The sequence below is a fragment of the Homo sapiens genome, chromosome 15 (genome assembly GCF_000001405.40).
Source record: "Homo sapiens chromosome 15, GRCh38.p14 Primary Assembly".
Classification (NCBI taxonomy): Eukaryota; Metazoa; Chordata; class Mammalia; order Primates; family Hominidae; genus Homo; species Homo sapiens.
In genome coordinates this window covers 80495698-80508368 of record NC_000015.10, presented here as the reverse complement: position 1 = coordinate 80508368, position 12671 = coordinate 80495698, and the positions used below count along the sequence as shown (strand labels likewise).

Genomic DNA, 12671 nt, shown 5'->3' with positions numbered 1-12671 from the left:
GAACCCACGTTGGCATGTGTGACTGCGGCAGAGCTGGTCAAGGCTCTTAACGGTGACAGAAAAAGGAGCAAACCAACCACCTGATGGCCTGCTGCTCCCCCAAAACAGACCTCATCCTGCAGATGAAAGACCGCCGCGAGCCCATGCACATCCTCATGGATGACTGCTGCCCTTCTTTCTTGACCGTCCCAGTCTTCAGGTCCAAGATCCGGCCTAAGAGAGAGAGAAGGACAGTTACGTAAGCCTCTGCCTTCGGTTGGGAGATGGAGGAGGGAGTTCGGGGAGTGCTTTCTCCAAATGCTCTGCCAAATGAGGACAAGTGTGGCTGTGCAAATTGTTTGTGTCTTGGAATTCCCAACATTCTTTGGCAAGAAACTCACATAGTGATGAAATCCATACAGTTCAAAATGCTTTGTTTCTTCAGAGCCGTCTACACTTGCTGTCTCTGCTTTGCTGGATTCCGTCGCCTGCAGTCACTCCAATTTGGCTCTCTCCCTCACCACTCCATGGAAAAGGCATTTACCAAGGTCACCAACTTCCTTACTGCTAAATCTAAAACACGTTTTTCCTTTGTTTGATCCAACTGCTTTGCTGGGCTTTATGCGACCGCGCACTGCTCCCTTCTCAAGCATCTGCCCTCCCCTGGCTTCGGACAGAGCGCTCCCGATTCCTCTCTCCTCTCTGCTCCTTTCTCCCTGGAGGCTCCAACCTCAGCCTTCTTCTCTTCTCACTGTACATGTTCCCTATGCAATTTTATCCACACCCAGGTTTTGACAGTCACCTCTGGATGCCAATGACCGTACTATATCTACACCTCTAGCATCAACCTCTTCATTTCCTTAGCCCCAGGGCCACACCATCAGCAGCTGACCATGCACCGCAAAAGCAGCTTCACCCACTCTTCCCCAAACCCTCCCTAAACATCAGCAAGGGCACTGCCATCTGCATGGAAATCTAAGTCAGAAACCAGACATTATCCCCGAGTCCCTCCTCTCCCTCACCGCCTGCACACACATCTCTGTCCCTCCCACTTTTCTGCATCCATCCCCCACCTTGCTCTTACCTCAGAGGAAGAAGCAGTGAACCTCAGTGCATTTCTGCTCCCACCCCCCACGGGGTTCTGGGCCATCAACTGACCTCCTCCCACGTGGCTATTTCTACCCTCTCCCCTCCCTACTGTCTACTTCCTCCAGTATTTAAACACCATCAAATCTCTTCCATCTTAGGGGAAAACAAACAAGCAAAAGATCTTCTCTGGCCTTGAAGCTCTTATCCTCTCTCTGCATCTGTGGTTGGAGGGTTCTGTCCACACTCACTGCCCCCTTTTGGTGTCCAGCCCACTGTACCCACTGTATTGGGCCTCCACCCACTACAGCTCCATGGCAGCTGCTCCAGCCCAGGCCACAAGGGCTCTCTATGTGGCCCAATTTGATACACACTCTTCAGCCCCTCTCCACCTTGTCCTTATCCTTGGCCAGTCCCTTGGAACATTCTTGCCTTGGGACACCACCTTCTCCAGCCTATCCTTGGGGCAGCCCCTCTTCCTCAGTCCAGCTCCTCCCCACCCCATGTTGGCATTCTCAGGGCTGGGCCTTGGCCCTTCTCTCTCTCACTCTCTCCCAGGGACCCTTGGCGACTTTCCACTTCACCACCTCTTACATACTGAGGACATCAAGATGTCCATCTCCAGCTGATAAAGCCTCCTTCCTTTGACCGAAACTCAATCGGCCTCCTGTGAGTCCTCTGCCTGTCTAGGCCTAACCTTGAGCTTCCCTCTCTGTCCTTGCAGAACCCAATTTGAGCAAGCATCCTAACTTAGTTTGGTGAGAATCCCCCACCCTCGGTATCTGACACCCTTGATATCTACCACCCTGCACTGTCCTCAGCAAGGATTCTGATGATTGAGTCTAACCGGAATCCCCCAACCTCTGATGTTTCCTTTTAGTCATTCTCCACCCACTGCCTCCTGCTGCCACCTTGATTCTTGCTTCTTGCTTCTAAACCCTCACTTATCCTTGTTGGAATTGGGTCCACTCTCTCCTAGCATGCAAGACCACAGTGCAGTGGTGCCTGCACCTCTTGACATGGCATCCCTTGAATGGAATCTTCTTTATAGTTTTTAACAAATGTTGGGGCCGGGCGCGGTGGCTCACGCCTGTAATCCCAGCACTTTGGGAGGCCGAGGCGGGTGGATCATGAGGTCAGGAGATCGAGACCATCCTGGCTAACAAGGTGAAACCCCGTCTCTACTAAAAATACAAAAAATTAGCCAGGCGCGGTGGCGGGCACCTGTAGTCCCAGCTACTCGGGAGGCTGAGGCAGGAGAATGGCATGAACCCGGGAAGCGGAGCTTTCAGTGAGCCGAGATTGCGCCACTGCGGTCCGCAGTACGGCCTGGGCGACAGAGCAAGACTCCGTCTCAAAAAAAAAAAAAAAAAAAACAACAAATGTTGGGAATCATTTTTTCTTTAACACAGCCAGACCTCTCTTGGAAGCTCTTACATGTACAACTGTCTCTTGGGCATCTCACTGACATCTCACATTCCTCAGGTCCAAAAGCAAATTCTTCTTCCTGTCCAAAGCTGCCCTTTCTCCACAGTCCCCTATCTTTGTCATTGGCACCACCACTACCCAGTTGCTCAAACTAGAAATTTAGTAGGTAAGAGCATAGACTCTGGAGCTGGACTACCTAGCTTTAAGTCCTGCCTCCTTCACTCACTGTGTGACCCTGGGCAAGTTACCTAACACCTCTGTGCTTCAGCTACCTCATTGGTAAAAATGAAGATAATAATAGTACTTCCTTTAGATAGTTTTTGTGTGCATTAAATGAATTAATATTACAAAGTGACTACAATTATGCTTGGCTCTATAAATGCTTATTAAATAATGAATATGAAAAACTCCAACATCTGATCAGTCACCAATATTCCATCAATTCTACTTCCTGTGTATCTTTGGCCTGTGCACTTCCTGCCTCTGAAGTGCTACCACCTTACATCTGTCCCCCTCACTGCATTTCTGGATGGATGGCTGAAAAAGGGCAGTCATCACTTCCTCTGGTCTTGTCCCCTTCATTCCAGCCTCTGTACTGCTACCAGAATTCTTCACTTAAAACACAAAAACGATTATGGCTCTACCATTTATGTGACGCCAGTCACTCAGACTCGCTGGTCCATGGTTTTCTCTATTGCAAAAAATGAAAGAGCAAGATCTTGCTTTCAGGATTATTGTGATACAACATACATAAAAGTGATTCGCACACAGGAGGCAAGCGACAAATGTGTTTCCTGGCAGGCTTAGATCAAATGATCGCGTCACACTCCTCCTTGAGAACCTTTCATGTTCTCCACTCTTAGTTGTCAGGAAAATCCAAGTCCCGCAGACCAGTATAAAAGGCCTCCAAAGTCCGGCCCCTGCCCTCCTCTCATACTCCCTCCTCACCCTATGCCATCCCACCACTCCACGCAGGCCCCTGCTGCTGCCCGGAAGGACTCACAGCTCCCCAGTGTGCCACTCTCTCATCCCTGGCCCTTCCCAGCCACTTCCCCTCCCTGAGCAATCCCCTTCCCTTTGCCTGATTTCCATTTTTTTTTTTTTCTTTGAGACAGGGTCTCACTCTGTAGCCCAGGCTGGAGTGCAGTGGTGGAGTCTTAGCTCACTGCAGCCTTGACCTCTGAGGCTCAAGCAATCCTCCCACCTCAGCCTCCCAAGTAGCTGGGACTACAGACGTGTGCCCCCATGCCCAGCTTGTTTTTTTATTTTTTGTAGAGACAAGGACTCACTATGTTGCCCAGTCAGGTCTTGAACTCCTGGGCTGAAGCATTCTTCTTGCCTCGGCCTCCAAAGTGCTGGGACTACAGGCGTGAGCCACTGTGCTTAGCTGACTTCTACTTTTTATCACAACTTACCCAAGGTGTCACCTCAGCCATCACTTCACAAATATTCATTTAGCCCGGACAATATGTGAGAGACACTAATGTAAGCACAAAGAATTAAACAGGCAAAGGCCATTATATCCTAGAGGATGAGAGAGCGGACAACAACAACAAAGAAGAGAACAGACTAAAGTCGATGAGAATAGACTCAAACAGAACAGATTGTTACACTGAGACAACAGCTAAGAACAATAAAGCCAGGAAGAGTGAGAAAGGGATTGGAGAGCTGCGGCTTTGCAGCAGACAGCGTTTCATAAGGGTTTCTATCATTTGAAATCAAAAGGGCCTTGAAGAAGTCACCCTCCCCAAGCCTGCGTCCCACTGCTCCAAATGGAGGAAGGTGTGGGGGAGTGAAAATACATGCAAGAGAGGATGGTCACCTTCCTCGCTGCACTCTGCAGCATATTGTGCTCTCCTTGGGCCGGCTCTGTCACGCTGTGCTAGAACTATCCTGCACACATGGTCTAGGACTGTGCCTGGTCAGCTTGCTCCCCTCAACACTTGCAGCCTTCCCTTCTCACATGGACCAGGGCTCTGCAGACTGCATGGCGCTCTACAAAGACCCAGCAATCACCACCATGCTGACTACTGGTACGTACATCTTTAAGCAGGATGTGTAGACCAGAATTCTATTCAGTGGAATGGTTTGACTCAGTGTGCTGAGAGCTCTGGCGCAGCCTGTGCAGGGGAGGTCCTGGGCGTCTGCTGATTCTGCGCTGTCTGCTGCCCCAGGTTTGACACCTGTCTGTCTCCTTCACAGACGGCATCTTTTTACGGCCATGTTAGTGTAAATTGTCACTTGCTTTATCATCTACCAAATGGCAAATGGTTTCAGCTGTGAAGCAGGCCAGCATGAGGGTCTGGCAGATTCCAAAGTGTGCTCTGAAAATAAATCCCAGCTGCGTAGCACATGAGCAGTGGAACATGAGGAAATGAAAAAACACACTTCCATGATCTGTTGTCATGACCTTGAGAGACAACAGCTTCAACGTTTATTTCTCTGTGTGCTTCTCCGGTTTCCTTGGACACAATGAAGCCGCTCTTCAGGCTCCTCTGAAAGCATGCCTGACTTCATAGAGTAGGTGTGTTCCTGCAAGGTTGTGTGTAAATTGGATTTTTGACAAATGTAATAGCAGTTGAGATGTACAAAATCAAGTGGCCATCGCCCCAGCACTGGGTTGTGAATCCCAGTGTCATGGAATGGCAGTCAGTCTCCATCCCACAGGAGACCTGGGTGCTGGGTTTGCTTACTACCGGCTCCCAGTAGAGAGGCAAACAGAGATGTTACTGCCAGTTACACTGCTCCTAATCTAATCTTCATTCCTGACCCACAGAAGCCTGGGTTCTGCTTAGAGCCATGGGCCTGGATTCCTCGGGCTGACTCCCAGCAGATCCCTAGAGGCACAATCCATCCAGCCAAGGCTGGCTCCTTCTAGAATCCCTGCTCCCCAGCCTCATCCACTGGGTCTGAAGGACTCTGGTTCTTTTGTAATCCTGTCTCTGGGCTGGTCCCATGATGCCTCCCATTCTGTTTTCCTTAGTCAGTGCCTAAACAACCGGCCACCCTGGTCACCTCTCCTATGTGTACTCTTCACCCTTGATCCAAGCCCCCTGCTCCTTTCCCTCCTAATCTCCAACCCCCTGGGTGCCCTCCAGAATACCCACTTGGAAGTAAGACAGCTCCTGTATACTCAGCCTCCTTATAGACACTCCCTGAACTCAACTCAACTCCCTGCCTCAGTAGAAACCAGCCTGCCCTCTGGAGCATGCCCTCTGGAGAGAAGGCTCATGCTCCCATGTCCCACATGGCATGGGGTCAAAGGTAGTCTTGCTGTCTTCCTCAGTCCCCGAAGCCCTTCAAAACCCGACTCCTGCATGACACGCTCCTTCCAGACTCATGTCATCCACCTCGTCCACCTACTACCCCTCCTTTGTTTCTGTTGTCTTCCCACCTCTGGGTCTCTCCTCCTCCTGCATTTTAGACTTTCAGCACAGCACCCACAGCCTTTCTCTTTACCCCAAGACCTGCTATCACCCTACATGGTTTCAGCACCCATGTGGAAGGCCCACCTAACATCTCCCTCTCAGGACGTGTCCTCCTCAATTCTGAGCACGCTTTCCTCCTGTCCGGGGCAGCCAGCCATGCCCACTGCCACATCTGGGAACTTGCGGGCATCTATAACTGCTCCATCTGAAATGGTACAATCAAACAGCCCCCAGGACCACAATTAGTTTTCTCACTCTGGTCCTCTCACCTTCCCCATTCTTTGAATTCAGGGAGAATCTAATGTCAGAATTCTTGATGTCCTATCAGCATCCTGCTTTTGGTACAGAGCTATGAGCTTCCCTGTGGCTCAGGGACCCAGTTGTTAGAGCACTTGGGCTCAAGTTGCACAATGGCTGGCTTTGTAAGAGGCCCCAGAAATCTTCCAACACAACCAGAAGCTGTGGAAGCAGATATTGTTCTGGGTTTGATGTACAAAGGAGACCCATTAGTGAGCTGATAAATTAGTAATTACGCTATTTCAAATGAAAAAGGCAGCAAGGATGTAAGACATGGCTCCTCCATATGCGGGTTGTGAGAGTTTGTTCAGGTCACTTCATTTCTCGGATCCTCAGTTTCTTCAACTGGAAAATGGAATCAGGCATTCCTACTTTGAAGGGTTATGTACAGATTTCAAGACCTACACACTAAAGCTCAACAAACCCCCTTAGAGAATCAGAGTACAAGTGACTGGCAGGCTCCCGGCACAGAGAGCCGCAGGCAGGGAGGGTCTCCTGAGACCGGGAGTTAGCCCCTGCCTCCTGGCTGCTGGAGGGAGAGACGGCATTCAGACCACTCTGGAATAATGCACAGAGCAAGGCCTCAGGCTACAAGATTGAATAACTTGCTATTCTTGTTTTTCTCCTTAATTTTCATTCTAAAACTAACATGGTCGTTTTAGAAAAGTCACGCACACGAACACTTTAAGTGAAAATCCCAGATAACCTTCTCCAGAGAAGAATACTGTTCACATTTAGGTGCGTTTCTGGTCAGTCTTTTTCTATGCATGCCTGTTCTTTATTTTAATTAGCTGAGGCCTCATGGTGTATATTTTTCTACTTCATGTCACTTAGCATAAACTCAAGAATTTCATCACAAACCTCATTTTAAAGGCTCTTTTAATATTATTTTGAGTAGGTAATTTACTATTAGACTTTTACTTTGTTTCCAGGTTTTTCCTATGGCCAAGGGTGCTGGGGTGAACATGTACATACAAACAAAAATCCAAACCATCTTAGGATGGATTTCCAAATATGGCATTCCTGCATCAAATAAGGAGAATATTTTTAAGGCTGTTAATATCAAACCCTACTCTGCCTCTAAAGCTCACAGGGAACTATGCTGTCAATACCTTTACTGATTCTCAGTTTTTCTACTCCATGAAATGAGAATAAGAATTATGACCACCTTACCTCAAAGTTTTTTACTGTAATTTTTCTAAGACAGTTGAAAAGCATAACATGCTTTATAACATGAGTCAACAAAGTACTTCCTGCAGCCCAAATCTAGTCCACCACTTGTTTTTGTAAATAAAGTTTTATTGGAAAACAGCCACACCCACTCATTTATTTATTGCCTATGGCTACTTTCATACACCATGGCAGAGCTGGGTGGTTGTAACAAACACAACATGGCCCACAAATCCTAAATATTTACTGTGTGTCCCTTCACAAAAATGCATTCTCTGACTCCTGCTTCAGAAGATATAAAGATTCCAGAAAAGAGCATCTTTTTTGATGGGCAGAGGGCCCTTCTGTAATTGTTTGCAGTAAGCTGATTTGTAAGTATTATTTTGGTCGGTAGTAACTTTTTAAAAAGAAGAATCTGAAGTTTGTCTTGGATAAGATCACAAAAGAAGGCTTTGTGCACATAAAAATTCTCCCCAGGCTACAAGAGAAATACAAATATAAATTAGAATTATTTCATCAAAAGAATCCTTAAGAAAACTGGAAACATCTTATCTTGGTTCAAAAAGGAGGAACAGTGAGATGGCAAAGGAAGAAAACAAGAGAAAATAATTAGGAACAAAAACAAAGCAAAACGATGGCCCCATGAAGGACAATATTTGATGTGGTTCCAAAAATGTGTCCCCCTGAAATGGGGGCCCAGAACTGGAGGATGCTTTGGTCACTGTTCCAGTGACAGTGTGTTCTTATTCTCAAAAGGTTGACCCCAGTTATTACAGCAGCTGTGCACACAGGAAAAAACACCAGGCCATAGGACAGGGATCCAACCAGTGTGCCTGAGGCCTGCTCCTGAACAAACTTTGGAGCCTGGAGCTGTGTCAGTGAACCTGGGAGAGAATGGGCCTTCTACTACTAAAGGTGGGTGCATTTTCCTTAGACTTCATTCTCTCTGGCAGGTGTTTATAAGTGGCTGAGGGCACAAACACATCAATTCACCGGTTGCAGCCAAACCATTTTCTTCCCAAACGAGAAGAGGGAGCTCTGAATGGGCAGTAGAGTTGCATAAGACATCTCTTACTCTATTTACCCATTACCTCCTCTACCACAATGCTTTCTTGAGAAATAGCTCTCATACTAATCCTTCATTATGAAAGTCAAAAAAAGAGCTGCCATCTTCTTACAAGATCCCATCTCCCTCGCCATAGTGATTGGTTGAGGACTGAGCACCTGACACACCCTGGGCCAATCATAGTAACTCACCCACCCTCTTGTCTATAGTGATTGGTCCCAAGACTAGGATAGAATCCAACCAGGCCAATCAGAGTCCTCCATAGGCAAAATGTGACCTTTGCCACCTTTCCCCCTCTTTTCTCTTTGAGAATCTGAGCATGGCTCTTTCAACAGCAGTGATTCAGCTTCAAGGACAATGGGGTCTAGGAGAACAAAACTGACTCCAAGAAAGTAGTAAAAACATAAAACAGTGAAAAGTTTCTCCCAGTGTTCAAGTCTTTAACACTTGGTTCTGTCACCTGCAACCAAATAGTTCAGGCTAATACAATGTTCTGTGGCCTTTGACAGAAGAGGAAGGACAAGGGAATTAACTCTTTACTCACTGAGGACTCTACTAAGGGCTAGGTATTCTGAAACGTTTTACATGTGTTACAGTATTTTATCTACACAGCCCTAGGAAGTGGGTCACAGTGGTTGCACACCAAGATGCAGCGGGGAGAAGGGCCTTAGGGGCAGTTCATTTCAGAGGGGAGAAATATTTGATCATTGATATGCCAAGAATTGCTGGGACATGATGATAATAAAAAGCAGATTAACTTTTAGTAGGTTCTATTATTGTTTTTAAATACCCTGTGGACAATGCAGCTCCTACTGCCTGCATGGTGGGCAATGCCCCCTCCTCTATAGCCCCTGCCAGGCTGTATTTGTCCCACAAAGAAACTGAAGCCCAGAGACACTAAGTAACCAGTTACGGTTGTCTCACAGCTGAGAACTGCGGAGTCAGGATTTGAAGAGGGCAGCCTGACTTACTGCAGAGCCTGTACTACTTTTCACAGTACAACTGCTCTGGGAAGTCTGGAGACCACTCCCCAAAGCAGAAAATAAGACGGCACCCACCGAACAGAAGCAGATGGGCAGTGAGGGGGCAGGAGGTCAGCCATCTGCAGGGACTGTGGCCAGCTTGTGGCTGTTTCAGGATCAGAAACCCAGACTGGGAACATCTGCCTTTTTATTTTTATTTTTGTGTAGTTCTTTTCTGTGTATGTCTTTATTCCTCTTCAATTTTTCCTTTTGGTTTAGTAGAGAACTTTGGATCATTCCAGCCTCTCTCAGCCATTCCTGGGAGACTCGGGGGAATGGGTTTGCATCCATATTTGGTGGAGTTATAGGAGGTACAGGTCCCCTAATGGCAGGCACGGTTGTAGTGACCACACTTTCCAGCTTTGGCTGGGACAGCCTAGCTTTTGCCTATTGTCCTAGGACGGTCATTAATACAGCCTCTTTTCACTCTCCTAGTGCGTGGATTTGGACCATCACCTATATATACAATATGGTCACTGTTTTTAAAGTGGTAGCAAAGAGAGAGTCATGAGTGAGAGATGAATCCCACACCAAGGAGGTTGAGAAACAGTTACATTTAAGGCCACGTAGCCCTTCTGCCAGTCACTTAAGCTCCTCTCTCCTCCTAGATAGGTCTACATTTTGTCTTTAGGGGTAGGGGGCAATGATCCAACAGCCCCTCAGAAAAAAATCGTGTGCCATCGGTGCTTCCAGGCAGGAAGGAGGGAGTGCAACTGGAGATGGCTGGTCACTCAGGGTAGAACTTGTTCCAGTTTAGTAACAGGGAGTTAACCCTCAGGTAGAGTCAGAAAGCTCCATTCTTCCAAAGAAAAGCTTTCTGAGGGCCCCCGATGGTGCAGCTGGCTGTACCTCATTCTGTTCTGGCCTGAACTTCACCAGGGCCACCACGACACTAGGAACACAGTTGGAGCCACATGCAGATGTTCAGCTTCTTGCAAACACTTGGAGACTAACACGAAAGTGGAATCACAACACGAAGTGTATTAGAAAGTCCTTCCCTTCCCCCTTCTCCCTTAAATTCTTGCTCCAGAGAGAAGGCCTTTCTTCCTCACTTGCTGAGTAAAGTGTTTTCCTCAGGAAGAATATACTTATAATTATCTCCTCTGCAACACTGCTCTACCATTTCAAATCTATATCCAACACTGCTCTACCATTTCAAATCTATTTAATGGTCATGATGGGCTGCGAGCTTCTCAGCTCTCCTGCAGCACAGGGAATGCTACTGCCCTCAACAGAATGGTATCTATATTAGTTTCCATGGCCATGTAGCAACTCAGCAGCTTAAAACAGCACCCATTTATTACCTCACAATTGACCAGGTTCTCTGCTGAGGGCCTCATAAGGACAAGATCGAGGTGTTGTCTGGGCTGGGCTATTACTTAGAGGCCCTGCAGAAGAATCCACCTCTGAGATCATTCCAGTTGTTGGCAGATCCTTGCAGTTGTCAGGTCAGGTGCCCATGCCCTTGCTGGCTGTTGGCCAGGGGCCATGTTAGGAGGCTGCTCACAGATCTTGGCTCATGGCCCCTCCAACTTCAAAGCCAGCAATGGTCATGGCCTATCAAATCCTTTTTGTGCTTCAAATCTTTCTGACTTCCCCATCTGTCATGAGCCAGATACAATTTTCTCCTTTTAAATGGCTTACTTGTTTGGGTCATGCCTACTGGATAATCTCTGTATTTGATGATCAACTGACTTGGGACTTTAACTACATAGGCAAAATCCCTTTGCAGCCATACTTAGATTAGTGTTTGATTGAATAACCAGAGGATGGAAACCTTAGGGATCCTTTTAGTATATTGCCCACATGGTCCCCAACATTATCGACACTTAGGCAGATAGCTTGCCTCCCTTCCTGGATTACAAACGTTGTGAAAGCAGCTAGCCAGGGGTTGAATATCTCTGTGTCCCCTAGTCCAGGGTGCCTCGCATACATACACTGGTGTCCAACAGCTCTGTCCTGAATCACAACCACCCACTGTGGAGGCTAAGCTGTCATGACTGCACAGTGGCCCAGTTACAACTCCTTACAGGCTCCTATGGATGCTCCATGTATCTCTCTTTTCCTGTTTTCCAAAGAATCCTTGAGGATTTAGAACTAATGCTTTTCTCTACAAGTAATTCTACCCCTCAAGCCTAACAAAGCATTTTCCTTTGGCAGTAGGAATCCTAAGCAACTTCCAGAAGCTGAGCTCCTGACATATTCTCAACAACTAGGAGGCTATAAACACAGGCCCTCCCCTAGTAACCTGGGCCACTTATCAACTAATACGTCTCCTCTTTCCTGGTTCTATATGGTTATCCAGGCAGGGAAAGGCTGGTGACAGGCAATGAATGGCAGGCTACATGTATCCCACTGGCAAGTTCAGAACTATTTATCCACTTATTTATCCACTACTAATTCAGAACTTTATGGCACTTGAGCCTGGAAAAGGTTTTTAAGAAAGGACACATGGTTTCACAGCAGTGACCAAGTGCAGCGTCCTTACCAGCTGGAGTTACAGGCTGTGTCAAACTCTACCTACCCAGACCAGTGCTGAGCAAGTTCTCCCATTTCACACAAGATGCTCACAGTTCAAGCTGGGAGCAGGGAGAAGGGTGCTGGGCATGTGGTGAATTCACACAGGAATGCACTATAGAAGACAGCCCAGTCCCACTCCATGGCATGGGAATAAGTCACAGTGCAATGGATTTTTTTTTTTCAAAATAATATTGTCAAGAGAGGGTGCGTGGAAGCTCACAAATGTGTAGAGACTGGGTAGAGAGCAAGAATCTATAAACTGACTCCATCCAACAGAAATTACAAAGTGCAAGCTGCAGTACTAAGCAAAGTGGCTCACAGAGTAGGGGAAGCAAGACACCATTCCTACTTAACGATGAAACCAACTCAGCTGGTACTCGAGGAGATGTCTGCACAAAATGCAAAGGCAGCACAGAGCAGACAGAGAGAGTGCTTCATGTTGGAGAGAGCAGACTGGGTCAGGGAAAGCTTCCTCCCAGAGGAGGTGCTAAAGGAGCCTCAGAGAGATGGAGCTGCAAGGGATAGGATGCCCCAAGTAAAGGGCTCAGAGCAAGGTGTGGGGAAAGTGGAAGGAGGGGTCTGAGAATAGTACAAAGTCCTGTTTGGCTGGAGCTCCACAGGGAGAGGGGCTGGAGAGGTGGGCTGGGGCCCAACCCCAGGGCACAGAGCCCTAGG

At 47.5% G+C, this 12671-nt stretch overlaps 1 protein-coding gene across 1 annotated transcript in view; it reads right to left on the bottom strand.

Moving 5' to 3' along the window:
- The window catches only part of ARNT2 (aryl hydrocarbon receptor nuclear translocator 2), a 193552-nt gene that overhangs the window by 89565 nt on the left and 91316 nt on the right, over nt 1-12671 (bottom strand). Inside the window, exon 6 of the mRNA NM_014862.4 lies at nt 111-213. Within this exon, the coding sequence (NP_055677.3) occupies nt 111-213 (103 nt within the window). The remainder of the gene's footprint in view (nt 1-110; nt 214-12671) is intronic.